The sequence below is a fragment of the Homo sapiens genome, chromosome 4 (genome assembly GCF_000001405.40).
Source record: "Homo sapiens chromosome 4, GRCh38.p14 Primary Assembly".
Classification (NCBI taxonomy): Eukaryota; Metazoa; Chordata; class Mammalia; order Primates; family Hominidae; genus Homo; species Homo sapiens.
In genome coordinates, this window is record NC_000004.12 from 5,950,360 (window position 1) to 5,970,763 (window position 20,404).

A 20,404-nucleotide genomic window follows, 5' to 3' on the forward strand; every position below is an offset into this window, starting at 1 on the left:
TTACTCTGAAATAATATGAGTGGAGAGAAGGGGGTGGTGTAGAAATAAAACGAGATTGTTCTTGAATTGGTCATTGTCGACGTTGCTGATGACTACGTGAGGTTCCTTTTATTATTCTCTGTACTTTTGTCAAGGTTCGAAATTTTTCAAAACAAAATATTTTCAAAAATGGGGTTGAATCTGTTCTTTTACTCGCTGAGTTCTCCTGGGCAAGCTACTTCACCTCTCTCCTGCCTTCCTTCTTCAACCAGTTTTCCACTCAAAATGGCACTTCCTCCAGGACATCTTGACTGATAACATCCAATAGAAAAGGTCACCCTCCTCGTTTCCTACCCACTGTCTCCACCCCCGTTTTTCTTCCCTCACGACATCGATCAGGACTTGAAATTACACAATATATATGAATCTGTGTGTAGCCTTTCTCTTCCTGATGACTTGTTCATAGCTGAATCCCATACACCAGGAAGCATGACTGCACATAGGAGACGATCAGTAAGCATTGATCATGGGAATGAATGAATGAATGAATGGATGGGTGGATGAATGAATGAATGAATTACCTACGGCATTAAGGCAGTGACAAGAGTCCCTCCAGGTCAGCATAAGCATGAGTGAGACAAGGTGCTCAGCCCACACACAGAACAGAGTAGGGGCTCATGGCCACAATTTCATCCCCAAAGCAGCATGTGCTTTTCTTGCACTTGTTTTCATGGACCCTCAGCTCCTAGCTGGATGGCTGGCTATCTTCTGGACCAGAACTAGGGTCCCGTCGAGAGTCCCCTCATTCTGTCTCACTGCTCCCAAACCTGCCAACTTGAAAGTTTCTCTATGCCATGAGCGTCCTCTTTACAAACTACAAAAGGTAGTTTTCTGTACAAAGTTGAGAGACTATCAATCATTCACAACTTAGTGTGAAATAGCTAAACCAAGTGACTTTTCTCATAACAATATAGTAAAGCCACCTGCATTGAGGGAATGAAGGGGGGTGGTGGCACATGATTGTGAAGCAAGAGACACCCTGGAATGAGAAACTGAGGCTCAGAGAGGTTATGTCACTTTAGATCCCAAAGCTAGTTAATGACAGATCTGATACTGGTATCCCAGTCTGTCTCATTTCAAGTTATTGTTGATTACCCTGCAAACCAACACTCAGAGAATAACCTTCATGAGCAAAGAAATACAAATGTGAAGCTGAGAAAGGAAGTCACTTTATCTATGAGGTGAAATTTACGGCCCTGTTAACAATGGCACAGATAAAATTCCATAATAAATGGTCTAAGACAGACGGCATGAAATAAATAACAGTCCTTCCAACAGAAAAATTAAATTTCAAAGCTGAAGAGAGTCTGAAGTCTCCCTGCTCTACCGCCCTCCACACTTCCTGTTTCTTCTCCATCCCTTCCTATAATGCGTTCGCTCTCCGTCCGACCTACCTTCTTGCTAATCCAGACCTCTTCCCCAACCCCAGCAAAACTCGGGCCCTCTCCTCCTTCAGCAGCAGGTGGTGGTGTAATGTGCAGGGGGAGCTGGGTTCCAATCCCTCTCCTCCTCTGCTCTTCCCTGAACCATTGCCTTCCTACCCCCTCTACTCCCAAAGCAAAAATAAAAGGGATGATAATATTTTCTCATCTAACAGAATTTGCACTACAGACAGTGAGATAAAATAAAATATGTGCTTGGAAGTGCCATTAAAATAAAATGAATCAACTAGTTCATGGAGTCATTCAACAAGCATGTATTAAGCCCTGGGAGGAGCCAGGCACTGTTCTAGGCACCAGGGATGGAGCTGCCAACGAACCAGGGTCAGGAGTCGTAAGAGGCAGCTGGATCCCGGGTGGAGGCGACAAGACCTACTGATGGAGGGGATCTGAAGATAGATGGGTAGATGATAGATAGATAGATAGATAATAGATAGATCAATAGATAAGAAGAGGAGGAGGAGAGAACAGAAGTTAAGCCACTTTTTAGCTTTCTTTGCTCTACTGAATTTGCACAGAAAGCCAATGAGAAGCCAGCCGAATTGCACCCCAGAATCCTGGAAGGGCTGGCAGTGGGGACGGCAGGCACCTCCAGGGCGAGGGAGCAGGGCGAAGCGCATGAGCACTGACTGGCCCCTCCTCAGAAGCAGCGGGGCTGGTCTCTGGCCCCAGGCGGCACAGTCAAGGGACCACCGCTCCCCACCTGGCTGCGGGTGGAAGGTCCTTGGCTGGGGACCTCCATCTACTCCACCCACCCCTTCCCTCACCACTTCCCGTCCTTAAGGGAACTTGGGAGGAGATATTCCAAACTGTCTAAAAGGTCAAGCGCTAAAGAAAGAAACTGGCTGGCTCCTTTGAGGACTCAGTCGTTCTTTTCTGGATGTCTCTACTTAGATCCTCAGGGAGAAGCCAGAAACAAAGCCAGATTTCCAGGAGAGGAAGGAGCGTGCTCAGAGAGGCCATGGACACGCACAGTTCCCGACACCGACACTCCCGCCTCCAAGAACGACTCGTTTTGGCACCGGCTGTGTGCATCCACCCCTGACTCCACTTGAATTCCCTATCGTAAGTTTTGGTTTTGCCTAGAAATATTTTATGCCATTGTGAAGACATTCAAGGGACAGCCGAAGGGAACCAAAAGCTGCTGGGAGCCTCCTCTGTGATGAGCACTATTTTCGGGTGGCTGCTTCTGGTCTTGACCCCTGTCCTGCATGGGGTGTGCTAGGTCTGCTGTGAGAGGCAGGAGGCTGGATGCTGTCAGTTCTTCCTCCTCCTGCCATAGCAGAGGAGTGTGAGTCCCCGCCCCACTGATGTTCACGCGACTTACTGTGGCATGGAGCGGGCCTGAATCCCAGCCCTCTGCCTGAAGCAAAGCCTCCCAGCTGAGCCCAGCCTAGTCAGCCGAACCCTAGCCAAGCTGCAGACGAGAGAGTGAAAAAGAATGGCTGGGAGTCACTGAGTTTGGGCTGGTTTCTTACACAGTAATATTGCGGCTACAGTTGACTTACACAGAGAGGTTAAATGACTCACCTAGAGACACACAGCTATGAAGCAGCAGCCCCACAATCATCCCCACTGCCTTGAGTCCTTGTCCAGTACTAACCTGGCCTCAAGCTGGGCATGGGTGGAGTCACAGTAACTTCCTAAAGGAGGATCCAGGATGCAGGTGCTGGGACTATTTGGTGATAAAAGGTAGGACTCAGTGACAGCAGTATCTTAATCCTGCCAGTGAGCAGAGAGCACTGTCCCATCATCCCACGGCAGGACTGTTCTCAGGCCAGGTCCTGGGAGAGTGCCAGCCTCCTGAGTCTGGCAGGAGGGCGCATGGGGGCAGGTCCAGCCCCTCTGGCATTGTACAAGCTGGAGAGCCCTGCTGGGGGGCCTGGGGGACTCCAAGACCTGCCCACCACAGGCTGCTGACTCAGCACCACTAGATCTGAGTCAGCAAAAATCACTGTGCTGGGCCACACAGTGCCTTTGTACAGAATTGCAAAAAGATGCCCGTTCCAGGTGGACATAGGTGGCAAGGCTTGGCCAGGACGGCTGAGGCAGCCTCTGTAAAAGGCACTGTTTCCTCTAGACAGGCACAGCCCAAGGAAAGAGTACGGCTGGATTTCAGCCCCTTCTGCCCTTGGACCAAGTGCCTTGCTTAGGACACAACCTGAACAACCAGATGCAGTAGCTCTGGAAGAGCAGGGTCGATGCCTCTTTGGCTCCTGCTGCCTGACAGTGAGCCCCACTCAGCAGCCAAGCTAAGAGCTGGCTCTGCCTCCCTGGCTCCCAGGACAGCAGCAGCACACAGTAGGCCCACAGCAGTCAGTGTGTGTGCCATGGATGGACTATCAGTGACAACGGGGAATGGCTACTCTAGGCTCCTGTCTGCAGCCTCCCCTTGTGTGTGTCAGGCTGGGGGTGGGGTATTGATCTGGGGTCTGGTCCTGTGTCCAGCAAATACCAGGGACCCAGCCCCGGGGCTGGGCATGGGGAAGCAGCAGCAGCTGGGAGCCCAGCTCCCCCGACCCCTGCCCTCAGCCCTGCACCTGCTGCCCGATGCTAAATTACTCTCGGCCACTCAGACAGAGCCATGGCTGGAGGGCCCCAGGGAGCAATGGGCTGAGATTCTGTAGCAGATGAGGGAGGTGATGTGTGTTGGGAGGGAAAGGAGAGGAGAAAAGATGGACTGGGAGGATGGGGGAGGGGGGTCAGCTCCAGGCAGCAAAGCTGACCTCCATTCCCACCTAGGCCTCCACGGCAGGCAGCGCATGGAGAGGGGAGGGCTCTGGAGTGTGACGTGCCAGCCTGTATTCGATTCGTTCATTTTAAAAAGGGTCAAACCAAGTAAAAGATACTGGTCCAAGCAGCAGGGATGCAAATTCTTCCAGATAAACAAATGTGGACATTTAGGGAATGGAAGACGCCCAGCTCAGCCCACCTCCAGAAGGCCCAGACAAAACAACCCTCAAATCCAAGGGAAAGGCTGTTCCAGAAAAGACAGACCAGTGGAAAGGACCAGAGATGCTGGTTGGGAGAGACCTGAGAGAAGATTCAGCAGCCGCAGGCATTGAGCTCCTGTTACTTTCAGGATTAAAGCTGAGAAGGAAACCTCTGGACAGGCTCGTTACAACCCCTGCAGACCTCTGCTGACCTGCCCTGTGCACAGGCCTGAAACAGCAGCCTTGCTTCCCTCTGACCCCTGCTGTCTTCCTCCTGAGCTCTTCAGCTGTGAGCGTGTCTCCCTCTGAGCGCCCGCCCCTACCTCTCCTTCCCACCTGCACCTTAAGTGATTTGTTTTCATTCTGTTTTTTAAAAATGACAAGCATGGAGATAAAGCAGTGGCGGCACTTCCATAGCTCTAAGCATGTCGCAGGGCCCTCCTTGAGCGCTTCACAGATGCTAACCCACTCACACCTTACCACGGCCCTTGGAGGCAGGCAACCCCATTTTACAGATGAAATCACCGAGGCGGGGAGAGGTGGGGTAAGGGGAAGAGCTGGGGTCCAAAGCCAGGCGGGGGTGTGTGCTTGGCTCCTGGGTCACCTGCCTCCAGCGTTACAGGGGAAAGGACGAGGGGTGGTCACACACCTGGGCTGTGAATGCCACCGCCGGGCACTGGCCACGTGATACCTTTCAAGGCTCCATGAGATAAGATGATGTCACAGGGCTGTAATTTCCATTTTCCCAGGAGAAAGCCAAGCCTGAAGGGGTCTGGGCAGAGGGCCCACAGCTGCCGCGTGGTGGATGGGGATAGGAACGCAGGACCATATCAGCCTTCCTGGCTGAGCCCAAAGGCCACTTCTCAGCGCCTCACCAGCCTCCAAACTGCCCAGTGCTCTATCAGTCATCCCCGGCAGCCAGATCCCAGCCTCCCAGCTGAGGTCACTCCTGCTTGTGAGCACCTGCAGATGGAAACGCAGCTGGCCCCTCCGGTGGAGTCAGGAAGCAAACGCCTGCTTGCTAACTCCCACCTCCCCCACTCAGAAGCATCATTGTCAGTGCAGGGCCCTGTCTGTGATGCTAAATGGAATCCACACATCACAGGCGGGTGCTGGCAGGGTTGGGGGCCCCAGGCACCCCCAAGCTCTGCAAGTAGATTCAAAAACTGCTACAACTTCAAAGAGGGCGAGGAGTGGAGTTTGGCCAAGGCCAACAAAATGACAAATGTTAACCTCCTCTGACCCAGGATTTCCTCTTAGCAATTTACCCTCAGATACACAGTCACGCATATAACCACGGGGATAGGTTGTGAGAAGTGTGTGGTTAGGTGATTTCCTCATTGTGGGAACATCAGAAAGGGTCACACAGCAGGATCACAAAAAAGGCAATGTCTTCCTTCTGGAACCTTCCACTCCAGGATTACAGAAAGCCAGGTATCTCTACCACCATTTCCTACCCCAACCCTACCTGGGCTTTTGCTCATGATTTCTCCTAGCTTGGAGGCCTCCTCACCCAGGCTGATCCCTGCTCATCTCCAAGGCTCAACTCAGAGGGCACTTCCTCCAGGAAGCCCTCCCTGACTGCTCATTGGTCAGCCGCCCACTCCACGGCCCCTGGGCCTTGTGTTGTCCCTGTTCATGTCAGTCAGAGCAAACTCTGGAGGACAGGAACCTGGAGTGAGACTCCTGTGACCACACCCCAGCCCTTCACCTGTCCTGACAAGTGCTCGGAGAAGCATCTGCTGAGCAGAACTCCTTTGCAGCTCAAGCAGAAGGCCTCCCGGGAGCACAGGAAAACAAGCCAGGCAGCAGGGAGGGACGTTGCACTAAAGCTTCTGCTGCTTGGCCTCAGGCCAAGCCAACCCTCTCCTCTGATTTGCCTAAACGCCGAGGTGGGGCTCCTTTGTGCAGTGGCGGAGGGGTGCATTTACCTCGCAGGGTTTAGGGCTCCGCCTCCAGGGAAGTCCGCCATTGTTGTTTGCTGACAGTCCGTGTGACAAATTGTTTTCTGCTGCAGAGCCAGGCTGGACCGTCTGGCTGGTCTCCAGAGGCCTCAGGGTCACTCGTAGTCATTCCCTGCCTGTGGGGCAGCCTGAGACCAGCTCCTGTGTGCCAAGTTCCTGCCTGAACCTACTGGGTTGCCAGAGCAGGTCCTGCCCCTGGAGCATCTGATGGGTGGCAAGGAGCCACCATGTGCCCTTCCAAATGCTGGGGTCTACAGACCAGGCGAGGGGAGTCCGCCATCCTGTACTGTGCCCCAGGGAGCCACGGCACAAAGCTTGAGCCGACCCAAAGTGCTAGACCCAGACGGCAATTCATGGCCCGGGAGAATAAGTGGCTCTGCCTTGGAAACATGATTTATTAGGGAATCGTTGGGTTACGCTGCAAAGGTCGTCTTGGCTTGCTTTAATGGATTTCCTGGGTTGCCTTTCTGCCCAGGCCCAGCACGTGAGCGCGGCAGAGGGGAGCATGAAGTCACAAGACGACGGACGTCTGAGCTCCTGGGACTCCTGGAGACCAGATGTGGTGGCACCACGCTGCATCTCGCTGGCTCAGCAAGGGCTCAGCTGGCTGTCCTCGGCTGCACCGGGTTTCTGTCCTCTCTCTGTCATGTTCCTGATGCTCAAAGCTAATGACATTGTCCCAAAATACAGAGGGAGGCAGAAGGCGGATCACCAAACCAGTGCTGCAGGTCACTTCCTGCTTGGAAATTATAGGGAAGCCCTGGGGTGGTTGAACCAACAAAGGGATCACCGCAGTGGTTTCCAATCTGGGGATTCTTGAGGGGTGGTAACGGGGCCACAGGGTCTCCAGGGGGGTCCCTGAAAACCTAGGTGGACAGCATCATCTTCACTTCTTCCCCAGCAGCATCCAGCCAGACACTCGCACAGCAGTCACTAAATGCATATTGAATAAATAAATAAATAGACAGATCTGTGGGTAAATCAATCCAGGAATACATGGATGAATGTGCTAACCCATCAGAAAACCCCATAAACGAATTTAAAGGGTGGAACTCAATGTGCTGAGGCTGCCTTTCTTACGTCTCAATGGCTCCCCAATTTTCCTCGAAATAAAACCCACTAGTTTCTATAATTGTACAACATAAGTCACATGAGATGTTAACATCAAGGGAAGCCCGGGGAAGAGTCTACGGGAACTCTGTGTAATTTTCATTTCAAACAAAAAGCTAAACTACGTTAAAATAAATCTATACACTTTGACACTTCCTGGGGAGCCGTCAGTTCCTTGTCCTTGTCCTTGTTTGTCCTTCCATGAAGGGACAGTCACTTCCAGGAGAGGACAGAATTGGACAGGTAGCGGCTTTGGCCTTTCCCTTAAGCCCCTCCTCAGCCCCTTCCCAAAGAGAGAGGTGACATCTCTGGTGGGTGAGCCTGGGTCAGGGTCTGGTGTGTGTCGTCCAAGCCCCCTAGACTCTCTTTTTGGGGGGCTGCCCTCAGGATAGAAGTGCTCTTCTCCTGGGTCGCCCACCTGATTCGGGGCACGAGTCTCTGTTCTCGGTGGAAGGAAGGGGTGCTGGATGGGAACGATGCAGTGACTGCTTGCAGCTGGCTTGACAAGAGCATGCTTTGCCCACTTCCCCTCCAGGGGCACATCCACAGTTCAGTTTTATGCCTCAGGGCCTTTGCACATGCGTTCCCTCGTACAGCAGCACCCTTCCCACCTCACCCACCGGACACTGCCCAGCCATTCCTTTGTGGCTGACTTCCAGTTGTCCCAAGCCAAGTAGAACGGACCCTTACCTTCATCCCGTTGCTCAGGGCACATGTGACACTTGCGTGCGTGCTGATTTACTCACAGGAGTATCTCTCCCATTGTCCTGTGAGGTCCCCGGCGCCAGGATCAACATTGACTTGTCTCTTCTCCTTCATGCCACATTGCCTGGCATCCAGTGGATATCAACAGACGTTTTTGGAGTGGATGGACTGATTAGAAAGTTCTGGTTAGTTTTAATGTTTTTAAATGTAAAATATATGGTGACTTAGGCGTTTCACTTAGTAGACAAAAAATCTTTTAAAACATGGGAAGGACCCCGGGGGCAGAGAAAAAACAAAACAAAACAATTCTCCATGGCTGATCTTGTTGGGAGCTATGAGATCCGTCCTGGACTCTCGACCTCAGCACTGGCGACCCTCGGGCTGTAATTCTTTGCTGTAGGAGGCTGGCCTGGGTATTGTAGGACATTTCATAGCATCCCTGGCCTCTACCCACCAGATGCCAGTAGCAGTGTCCCAGCTGTGACAACCAAAAATGTCTCCAGACATGGCCAGATTTTCCCTGGGGGGCTAAAACTGTGCCCAGTTGAGAACCTCTGGACCAATCATTCAATAGGTTTTGGTACAGTAAATATTTCCTATGCTGCCTTGACATTGCCAAAGCCAAACTCCTCAGAATTTGCCAGGCACAGGCCAGCGTTTCTCTCAAGCTCTGACAATGAACACAAAATCCCAAAGCCGAAGGCAAAACCACTTGCCACTAAATGAGGGCTCTGATTGCTACCAATTTCTTAAAGCACTCTCTGAAGGTTCTGCTTCAAATATTTATGGAGTCTATGAAATGGCTCCGGAGAATGAGTGGCCCTATTACATTTCTAACTCCAGCGGTGATTTATGGACCTGGGAATTGCTGCAAATGCTTTGTCTAAGCTCTTGGTGAAAAGCCAGGATCCTTGCTGGGCTCAGGAGCTCAGAGGGTGCTGGGACGTTATCGACTTGGAGGGCAGGACAGGGCATTCCGCCTTTTTCTTGCAGACGTTGTGCGGGGAGACCTGGTTCCACAGTGACCGCTGCCAGGCACGTTCCAGGATCAAGCGTGGACACCAAGGACAGAGGGAGCTGCAGGCAAGAGGACAATGAAATGGTCTCTGCGTCCACATGTTTGTAAAAGCCCCTCCATTCACACATTTAATCAAAGGAAGAGATGACAGTGATAGCTAACGGTTTCGGGGCACTTTCTGTGCCTGGCACCAAATACTCCTCACACATTGGCTCACTTCCTTTGGTGACAGTTCAGTGAGACACATGCTGTCATCACTGCGTTCTGGGTCAGAAAATGAGATTGGGGCAGCGTGAGGCTCCCTCTCCACGTCATGTGGCAGGTGCCTGACAATACAGTCATGAGCGGGCGTTCCTGTAGAGTGGATATCCTCTATAAATTTTCTCCTTCCCGGTGATAAGAGAAAGTGACCTTCCCTTGAAAGGGGAAGTCATGTCTTGCTGGTTGCAAACCTCATGCCCAGCACATCTCAGGGCTTTCCCCAAATGTGCCATCTTACTTGCCTTCACTTAGTTCCTGCAACAAGCTATCATCAGGCCCACTTTATAGATGAAAACCCACTTAACAGTTTAAGAGATTCTAAATGCCTTCATTAAATGTATTAGCTCTGAAGTGGCTTCGACTTCAAAGCCAAGCCCATCTGATTTCAAACCTCCACTCTTTCTACGTCTCCTTTCCAGTCACTATTGTACCTGTGATCCCTTCACGACCAACATCTCACACCTCTCAGGCACCTTCCCGCAAATGACAGGCAGGACTGCCTCACCAGGTAACATGTGAGTCCTGCTAATGCCTCTTCTCCCTCCTCTAAAGGGTGTGGCAGGTGTGTCAGTGCCTTGCCAGACAGATGAGCAGAATGGAGCCGACTTCTCCACCAGTTCCAGGAGGCAAGAGCAGCCGCAGGTTTGCAATGAGCAGGGCCTTTTGCCTCACTGGTGGAAGACGGCTGAAAAAGAGGCTGGACAGCAGAGGCAGGGAATCGGCGATCACTATGTGCCAAGCCTGACCTTGTCCCTGCCCTCAGAGCACTTCCAATCCAGTGGGAGAGGCAGACACATAAACTCAATATTATGCTGCAGGGTTCAAGCCCGAAGAGAGACCCACACAGGTGCTGATGAAGCCTCCAGGACGGAAGTACTGACTGCACACTGAGGAGCTGGGAAGGCCTCATGGAGGCAGTGTCTGAGCTCGGCTTTTGGGGAGGAGCAGGGTTCTGTTATGTGTTTAAAACGCAAGGTCATTCTGGGCTGACTAATGTGCGCATCAGGAGTCTGGACTCCATCTTATAATAATAATAATGATAGTCGGCCTGGCTCATGCCTGTAATCCCAGCACTTTGGGAGGCTGAGGTGGGTGGCTCACCTGAGGTCAGGAGTTCGAGACCAGCCTGGCCAACATGGTAAAACCCTGTTTATACTAAAGCCGCTACCTGTCCAATTCTGTCCCCTCCTGGAAGTGGCTGTCTCTTCATGGAAGGACAAACAAGGACAAGGACAAGGAACTGAGGGCTCCCCAGGAAGTGTCACAATGCATAGATTTATTTTAACGTAGTTTAGCTTTTTGTTTTGAAATGAATGTCTCTACTAAAAATACAAAAATTAGCTAGGTGTGGTGGTGCACACCTGTAATCTCAGCTACTCAAAAGGCTGAGGCGGGAGAATCGCTCAAACCTGGGAGGCAGAGGTTGCAGTGAGCCGAGATCGTGCCTCTGCACGCCAGCCTGGGCAACAGAGGGAGACTCCATCTCAAAAACAACAACTATAATAATAATGATAAGGATAGTTTAAGCCATATGAAATTACTGTTTCTGAGGGAAAGAGTAGTATAATATTGGCAGTTTCCTAGGATTCAGTCTACAACAGTGAACATTTACTGAGCTCTTGCAATATGTCGTTCCAAGCACTTTCCACATATTGATTCATTGCATCTTTACAAAATCCAAGGAGATAAGTGCTATTATTATCATCCCATCATACAGATGAAGCAACAGAAGCCCAGAGAGGTGAAGTGCTGTGCCCAAGGCCACACAGCTAATAGGAGCCTGCTGCAAGATTTGAACCCAGGCCATACGGCTCTCAAGCCTGCCTGATTCCCCACCACAGTGACAGCTGAACCCAGGGATGTAGTGTTGGATCTTCAGTGGCCGAGTGATAGGATGAGGCTAATGATATAGAGGGCGAAACATCTCCTCATTCACTAAAGATTTGTCAGCCTTTTCAGGACATGTCTGTATACTCTAAAGCTCTCTTCTCCTTTTTTTTTGCTAAGCTCAACCGTACAGTAATAGATTTGTGTGACGTGACAAATTTAGTTACTGCCCTTCAAAACTCCATGACCTCATTTTCCTTGTAGGTCACTAATCCCCTGGTGTCATTATTTAACAAGTTTGTTTTCAGCATGGGAAGCTCTTCCCCAAAACCAGCCCAGATACATGGCTTGCTGTCTGTTTTTGCCCAGGGCAAGGAGCTCTGTTCCCAAATGCTCATGACGACTGGACAGAACCAAGACTGCAGCGAAAATGCAGTGCTGGGAACCAGGAGCAGGTGCCGTGTACCTTCCAGAGAAACAGCCTGATGGCCCCTGTCTCTGGCTAACTATTCACCCAACAAGTGCTTCTGAAGGCCTCCCATGGGCCAGGTACTGTGCAAAACATGGGAAAAACATTTAAATTGACATTCTGCCATCTTGCTGCAAAGAAACTGAAGTCCCCTATGGACTTGAAATGATTTCCAACAGAGGAAAGGTTTCCAGTCCAGTGACCTTCTGTGTTTTTAGTGATAACTTTGAAGAAAGCTGAAGAACACCTGACCAACTTGGAACCATAAGGGTATTAAGATGCATTTTTGGTTTATCCATTCATGCAACATATTACTCCAACTATTTCCTCAAAAGCTTTGCTACAGGTTTCTGGCCAGTGTCACTGACAGCAGACATTAGAGGGTTTGTTCTCACACTGAGCTCCAGATTGGAACTTTGAGGGAGGGAAGAGGGACTGCTCCTCTCCTCTCAACCCCGCCCCCATCCAGGCCACGCACCATCTGGCCACATAATGATCAGAGGGCCAGCTCCGGAGCCAGGTGCCCCTGGTTGGAAGCCCAGCTCTGCCGCTTATGAGCTGGGTGACCTTTGCCCCCTCTGTGCCTCATCTTTTCTCACAGGTTAAGTGGAGCTGATGCTGATATCTATTTGGTGGGCCCTTTGTGGGACTGGATGAGCCAATGCCGGCGCAGTAAGATTTGGGTGTGTTTTCTGTTTCGCTGCTGTTGCTATCACTGTCGTCATTATCCTCTTCTAGTCTCCGCTCTACCTCCTCATACTTTATGCTCCAGCGATGTTGCTTACCATTCCTCCAAATGCCTCATGGACACTCATCCTCCCATCTTTTTACAAGTACTCCCTTCGCCTAAAATATTTTCTTCTTTTTTTTCTTTTCTTTTTTTTTTTTTTTTTTTGAGATGGAGTCTCGCTCTGTTGCCCTGGCTGGAGTGCAGAGACACGATCTTGGCTCACTACAACCTCCGCCTCCCAGGTTCAAGCAATTCTGCCTCAGCCTCCCGAGTAGCTGAGACTACAGGCATGTACCACCATACCCAGCTAATTTTTATATTTTTAGTAGAGATGGGGTTTCACCATGTTGGCCAGCTAGTCTCAAACTCCTGACCTCAAGTGATCTGCCCTCAGCCCCTCGAAGTGCTGGGATTACAGGTGTGAGCCACTGCGCCCAGCCTGCCTAGAATATCTTCTACCTGCTGCTGATAAGGTAGATTAAAATAAAAAATCAGAGGTAATTATCCTAGGAATGATCAAAGCTTTGTTTTTATTACTAGATAAGAAGTCATTTAAAATGAAGTTTACCCATCAGAAAAAAAAGTTTAAGGTCAATAACAATAGCTATCTTTTTTTTAATACCTCCTCTATTTTTGATTCCAGGCACTATAATAAATACTTCATATGCATGATTTCATTGAATTGTCCCAACAAGCCTGAGAGGTAGATATTATTGTCTCTTTTATCTTTTAGATAAAATAAATTAATGTAATTATTGAGACAGGAAAGAATCCATGGGGATAAAAGAAGGGAGAAAAATTACAATCAGCTGAAATAAAATGAGTAAGAGCAGTTTTCCTTCTGAGCAATGGCTGCTTTCTCTTTTTTACTGTGAGCACCTCTGATGTGCCAGGCACACACTCAGCTCTGCCTGCCTGATTTCTCCTCCTAACAGTAGGAGGCAGGCAGCCGCATTTCACAGCTGACAGTTACGTGCAGGCAGATGAAGTACTTGCCCAACATCACAGGGAACTAAAATGGGGTAGGGCTGGGACTTGAACTCAGATCTGCCAGACCCCAAAGCTCATAAGTAAGTTTTCTCTGGGAAGACAGAGGGGAGTGCTGCTCTGGCAATGACTGATTAGGGTCTTTAGGACCAAACCTGCAGTATGTGCAACTAGAAAAGCTAGGGGGAAACGTTAACAGAACATTTGTCTGAAGCCATCTGAGAGCTACAAAGGCTGTGAGGACTTGTGGGACCAAAACTGAATACAGAAGAGAAGCCAAGAAAAGCGAGCAGGGCAATTGAGGACCTATTTTCCCTCGAGGTGAAGGCAGGGTCTGTGCAGGAAGGAGCCAGCTGAGAGGGTGAAAAGCTAAGGAGAGCTCTGAGCAGCCTCTTGGGGCCGACAGGGGAAAGGGCTCTCAAATACTCAACAGGCTTTTATGCCCTAGGAGTGAGTGTGAACCAGAAATGCAGCAGACCTCCTGAGCACTGGAACTCCTTGTCGACTCAGCCTTGATGTGAGGAAGATGACCTGCCCTGAGCAGAACAAAGGAAGTCCTCTGTGGATGGAGATACTGTCAGGCCTCAAATTGTGTCATCAAGGTTTTCATACATGATGTCCAGCATCCACTAAAAGTCACCAGACCAGCTGGGTATGGTGGCTCATGCCTGTAATCCCAGCACTTTGGGAGGTCGAGGTGGGTGGATCATGAGGTCAGGAGTTCGAGACCAGCCTGGCCAACAGAGTGAAACCCCATCTCTACTAAAAATACAAAAATTAGCCGGGCATGGTGGTGGGCGCCTGTAATCCCAGATACTTGGGAGGCTGAGGCAGGAGAATCGCTTGAAACCAGGAGGCAGAGGTTGCAGTGAGCCGAGATCGCGCCACTGCACTCCAGCCTGGGTAACAGAGCAAGACTCTGTCTCAAAAAAAAAAAAAAAAAAAAAAATGTCACCAGACCTAGGACACATGATTTGACCAGAAACAAACATTAAAATTAGATCATAGAAGGAGACTGAGGGTGAAACCAGGGGGCTGTTCGGGAGTCGATTGTGTTCTATTTCTTGACCTGGTGGTGGCTTTCTGGGTGTATATCGCTTGGATAATTTGCTAAGCTGTAAATGTGTTGTACTTTCAATAACAAAGTTCATTTAGGAAATGAGGTGACAGGTGCCTTCTCACCTTCAGAGAATCCAGTTGGGCTGTCTGTGCTGGCCACTCCGGCTCGGGAATAGGCCAGGACTCTGAAGACAATGAGCTTTGGAGGACACTGTCCATTTCAGGATTCAAGAGGTATGTCTGAGCTGGAAGGGAAAATTCTCAGTCAAGCCTCCACCCAGGAACCTAGGTGAAAAGTCTACAAGTGTCTGAGCCTTGTCATAACCTTCTTCACTCTCTAGCCATTCCCAGATCATTCCCAGTTTCCATGCCCCGGGGCAGAGGTCCTCTCAGATGCCTTTGAGCTCTCCAAGGACCTCACCCATACGCCTCTGATGGTGCTGTCATGATCTTGGGGCATCCCAGAAAACTGCCTGCCTGCCTGCCTCACCTTCCCCTACCTGGCTGCAAGCTCATTCCATGCAGGGACCACTGCCTTTGCAAGCCGGCTTAGCTTCGTAAGTGCAGCAACACCTATGTGGGATCTGGCATGTGGCGGCCCTCCAGAAATGTCCAACAAAAAAATAACTCAATCGGTCTAGCGCGTTTCCTTCTTTGAAACGGGATGAAGCTGAGCAAGAGAGGGAAGAAGACTTGCCTGGGGCCACAGAGAGAAAATTAGTGACAGAAGCAGACCAGCTAGGATCTGTGCCTCTCCAACTGTGAGAACAGGCACCAAGTCAGGCTGTAGGTACAGAAGGCCAAGGCAGAGAAGGACAGGCCCATCCTGAGGCGTCAAAGACTGAGAACACGTTTCTCTGCTCATGTACTGACATCCTGCTATGTGCCAGGGTCCAGACACTCCAGAGGAAGGTCATATTATCCTCCTCTTAAAAGAGTGTATGGCTCAGAGAGGTTAATGAACTCATCTAAGACCACACAGCTGGCAAGAAGAGAATCTAGTAATAAGAACCACTAGATGAACAGATCTCAATAGCAGCTTGGTCTTAAAGGTAACACCATCCAGACGTTCTACACGTTTTATCGTGCACCTGATCCAAACACAACACTAAACAGATCCTTGGGAGCCCCATCCCGCCCCCACGCTGAGGGTAGTAAGCTGCGCTTAAACAAGGCCCAATCAAATACCACCTGTTCCCCCAAAACTATTGAAATAAAAAAGAGTAAAACAAGGTCCAGGAAAATTCTGTCTGGTCAGATAGGGGCTTCATTTTCTTTTTAATAATAAAAGTAGGCCGGGTGCAGTGGCTCATGCCTGTAATCCCAGCACTTTGGGAGGGCAAGGCAGGTGGATCACATGAGGTCAGGAGTTCAAGACCAGACTGGCCAACATGGAGAAACCCTGTCTCTACAAAAATACAAAAATTAGCCAGGCATGATAGTGGGCGCCTGCAATCTCAGCTACTCGGGAGGCTGAGGCAAGAGAATTGCTTGCACTGAGGAGACGGAGGTTGCAGTGAGCCGAGATCACACCTTTGCACTCCAGCGTGGGCGACAGAGGGAGACTCCCTCTCAAAAATAAATAAATAAATAATAAAAATAGCAGAATTAAAAAAAAAAAGCACTCATGTTACCAACTCTCTGAGTAACCACGGCAAATGTTTTAGGTGCTGTCCTAGCCTAAGTTGCAGATCAGATCCAGATGTGCACATCGAATTATACAGTTATAATTATATGAAACATTCCATATCTTAAGAGGTTTTTTTTTTTTTCGGAGTCTTGCTTTTTCACTAGGCTGGAGTACAGTGGTGTTATCTCGGTTCACTGCAACCTCCGTCTCCCAGGTTCCAGCCATTCTCCTGCCTCAGCCTCCCGAGTAGCTGGGACTACAAGCATGCGCCACCATACCCAGCTAATTTTTGTATTTTTAGTAGAGATGGGGTTTCACCATGTTGGCCAGGATGGTCTCCATCTCTTGACCTCGTGATCCGCCTGCCTCGGCCCCCCAAAGTGCTGGGATTACAGGCGTGAGCCACTGCGCCTGGCCCATATCCTAACAGTTTCAAACTTAGTAGAACATGGTAATTCCCATGCTGTTGCATGGTGTTTCTCAGAACCATTTTAATGACCATGTTGTATTTCACTGATTATATGGGTTCATTAACAATACTGAGGGTTCCTCCCAGTTTTTGGCTATTATAGATGCACTGGCAGGAACATGCCTGTCCACAGAATCCTTCCACATACAGAATTATCTACTTAGGATGAGTTTCCAGGAGTGAAACTCTGGCACTGAGGAATTTGAACGTTTCTGTTTTTCCAGTGTGTTCTCTCATTGTGAAATAGGAAGGCAATGCCACATAGGAAAGCGGGAGGGAGAGGTGGGTCCTGTTCCTTTTAGTAGCATGAATGCGACAGTGGGCATCTCCCCTCTGGCCCACCTCTCACAGCGTCCTGCCGGCCTGGACTTTTTCTGAGCACACAGGCTTTTCCTGATCAAAAATCACACTGACCTCTTAAAGCTGCCGTCATCTCAGACTTGACGTCCAGGTGGTGGCTTGTCTGCAAGAAAAGACATCTTGGCGGTTATTCTGCATGGCACTGGAGAGACAGCCTTGCACAGAAGACTGCAATTGGACCAAGCAGGGCCATCACCCCTCCCCGCAAAAAACCGCTTTCTGTGTAGGACCAACCCTGCCTGTGTGCATGAAGACCTCCCTCCTCTTCTCTCCAGGATGCTCAAAGGAAAACGGAATTGGTTTTGCTCTTAGGAAACATGGGCACAAAAAAACGATTCCATTTCCTTTTCTCAAATTAAATCTCCAAATGGAGACAGTAATAAAAGTGCTTTAGAAACTGCTATTAAAAAACATTTTAATGAGGACATCCAGTGCTCTGATGTCTCCCCTGGGGCCCCTGATTCAATCACCCAGGAATTCAGGTCAGGCTTGAATCTGAGTGCACCACCTGCACCACCGCACAGACCAGTGTCCTCCTGGTTCCGCATTGCACGGGGCAGGTGAGAAGTGAGATGGCAATGATCACTCAACTGGTTGGCCGACGGCCCCCAAGTGGTTGAGCAAGAGCAACTGCTGGATCTTCGAGGCAGGTTAGAGTTGTTTCCAGACTGGCAGCCTGGATCTCACTTCCTCTTGGGTGTTTCTGATGGGGCAGGGTCCTGTGTGCAGTGCTGCTGTGATAACTCTTTCCTGTCTCCACTTCCAACATCCTGGTCATGCTCTTCCTCCAGGTATAGGAGGCCATCTCCCTGTCTGAAAGGGCTCTGCTCTCTCTCTGTCTCTGGTGAACTTCTACGTAGATGTCAAGGCCCAATTCAAATGTTGCCTCCTCTGTGAAGTCTTCCCTGACTCCACCTGGCAGAGTTCAGCCACTTGCCTCTCGCACAGCGCCTTCTCTGCTGCAGTGACACCTGGGGTCTATGAGGGTCCCCTCTAACCTGGATTGACTGGTGGAGGGCTTAATACTCTGCGGCATGGGTTATGGCTCAGCCGTCTTCTGGTAGTGACCGGATCACACCAGCACTCCTGGGAGGCTTCGGTACCAGGCACAATGCCTGCTCCTGAACGGTGCTCTTAGAGCACTTTGCTGTCACCCTTTCGACACTGTTGTGTCTTCAAGTACCCTGGACTCTCCCACCCCGGTGCCTGTGTCCACTCAGGTCCCGCAGCCTTGAGACCTTCACTCTATCCTTCCAGCTGTTAAATCCTGCTTTCTGTCCTTCAAGGCCTGGTCTGAGTGCTTCCTACTCCAGAAAGCATATCCTCCAATCCGTCACTCTCTCCTCTCTGCTTATTTCCAGTGCTTTGAATGAATGCCCTTTATTGCCCCTGGGTTTAGAGTCAGGTGTCTCCTCATTAGACAGAGGCTCCTTCAACGCGAGACTGGGGTTTTGTTCGCCTTCGTAGAGGATACACCGACAGAGTAGCCTCAAGCGCACTCAACTGACTTCTGGGTGGCCCTGCATTCGGTATGTGGTTGGGGTGCAAGGACCCTTGTCTGCTTCCAGCTCCTCCACTACCACATTGGTCTGGAGTGGCTGCAGAGCCAGGCTTTCTCAAGTTGAGTCCTGCCTCTGCCACTCACTGATTCCATGATCCTGGCCAAGTCCGTTGAATTCTCTGAGCCTCACCCTCTCCATCTGCGGAACAGAAATACGGTACCAATATGTTCTTTGTAGGGATCCACCAGAATGAGATGAGAAGGAACGTCCACTAAATGCCAGTGATACCGAGTAGGGGACAGATGAAGACTTGTGCTACACTCTCCCGAGCCCTGCCTCTCTCCCCACGAAAACTTTTAGGGGAATATTCTAAGTTTCATAAAAGGCAGGAGTTAAAGAGAAAATAATTGCCTGGATCCTTGGAGGCCCAGGCTTAGGGATTGCTGATTTAATGAACTGGGGGAGTTCAGGGCTTTGAGGGATAATTCTTCAATCGTCTGAGTATGACCGCTCCTTTTTTAGACCAGATTCCATTTCCAAAAGCCCGCAACTAGATCTCATTGACAAATACCCAGAGGAAAGCAGGAGGTGGCAGGAGGAGGAAACAGCAGGGCGAGAGGAGGTAAAATGAGCATCTTCCTTACTAGGTCACCTACCTCTTTGCCCCGACTGGATGACTCTCCCCTGCTAGTATGCCCAAGGCCCCTGGCTGCTCCCAGGGGAGCAAAACTGATGTTTTGCTTGAAGGTGCCCCAAAAGCTGTTGGGTGCCTGTGTGTGACAGGTGCTGTGCCAGGCATTTGACATGGGGTCTTTAGTCTAATTCAAACCTCACAAAGCCCCATAGGGTACAGCAGCCCCCACCTGGCCTAAGATAACAGGTGGCTTAGGTACGTGAAGGGCAAGTGCCAAGTTCATGACATGGGTCATTATTTAGAATCAGGATGTCATCATCTGCAGGTGAATCTCCCAGGGAGAGGACAGGAAACTACCCAGCTAGGAGCACAGGAAGCTCAGGAGTTCTCTGTTCTCTGACGGGACCTTCCATCTGTGGAGTGGACCCCAGGCCAGACCCTAGGGGTGGGCAGGAGAGCCAGCTGCCATCTTAGCCAGTGCTGTGTCCCAGGTGAGCCCCGGCAACCCTCTTCTCCTCTCCTTTGGTACCCGGGCCTCTGCCTCCAAGGTCTCAGGGACGGGGAAAGGGGACGATGTAACTGAATACAAACAGCAAAGGTGTCTCATTTCATGCTTGTGAATATCAACAGCGTAGGTCCAGGCAAAACACAGGAAAAAAAAAAAAAGGCCCACTGGGGCTAGGGGTCGGGGGGCATAGAGAGGAAGCAAAACAGGCCCAGGAAGGTGCCCTGAGCCCTGCTCACTCAAGGCGTCCAGGGGACAAGGCGGAATTAAGAACTCTAGAGAGGTTTTAGGAATCCGAGAACAGCCTTCCCTGAGGGACCATCTCCAGCTAACATCAGGGAGGCGGCAAGACCCGTGTTCCCAGCAGAAGGAAAAGTGACCTCTGCCATGCCAGGCTGACCTCGTGGGATTTCCCCATCCCCAAAACAGGCACCTGAGCTGGACAGAATCAGCAGAGTAGGAGGAGGGAAGCCAGGGCGGATACAAGGGTGACCCATGGACGCTAGTGACCCGGATGGCACAACAGCAGATGCCAGCACAGACAGCGGTGCTGGGACCCGTGGCCCCCAGCCCAACACCACATGCCTGCAGAAAGGGCACTGGGGCCAAACCGACTCTGAGGCTCAATTTCCACCACGCACCCAAACCAGGACAAGAAAAGAAAATGGAAATACAAAGACTCAGTCACGTGCAGGGAGGGGAGGTGGTCACCGACTGCTGCTTGCATGGGCACCAGGCCACGCCACCTCCTCCTGAAAGGGTA

The 20,404-nt window shown here is 50.5% G+C and overlaps 1 protein-coding gene across 7 annotated transcripts in view, besides 2 other annotated features; it reads right to left on the reverse strand.

Moving 5' to 3' along the window:
* The window catches only part of C4orf50 (chromosome 4 open reading frame 50), a 120,960-nt gene that overhangs the window by 52,773 nt on the left and 47,783 nt on the right, over positions 1–20,404 (reverse strand). For 2 of the 7 annotated variants that reach the window (XM_017008893.2, XM_047415663.1), the window contains 4 exons: positions 17,055–17,103; positions 14,665–14,786; positions 8,176–9,267; positions 6,343–7,308 (listed from right to left, as the gene is read on the reverse strand). In XM_017008893.2, coding sequence (XP_016864382.1) covers positions 9,016–9,267; positions 14,665–14,786; positions 17,055–17,103 — 423 coding nt within the window. In that variant the 3' untranslated portion in view covers positions 6,343–7,308; positions 8,176–9,015. Of the gene's footprint in view, positions 1–6,342; positions 9,268–14,664; positions 14,787–17,054; positions 17,104–18,160; positions 18,701–20,404 lie in introns of those variants that run through there. The other 5 variants (XM_047415667.1, XM_047415664.1, NM_001364690.2 and 2 more) reach the window with 4 other exon arrangements.
* Positions 5,891–6,442: an enhancer, noted in NCBI's record as "H3K27ac-H3K4me1 hESC enhancer chr4:5957977-5958528 (GRCh37/hg19 assembly coordinates)". NCBI's record gives its function as "activates a minimal SCP1, AML or CMV promoter by ChIP-STARR-seq in naive and primed H9 embryonic stem cells {active_cell/tissue: H9 hESC(naive and primed)}" and the evidence as "EXISTENCE:reporter gene assay evidence [ECO:0000049][PMID:30033119]".
* Positions 17,539–17,628: a silencer, noted in NCBI's record as "silent region_15225". NCBI's record gives its function as "represses an Ori minimal core promoter by ATAC-STARR-seq in GM12878 lymphoblastoid cells {active_cell/tissue: GM12878}" and the evidence as "EXISTENCE:reporter gene assay evidence [ECO:0000049][PMID:35858748]".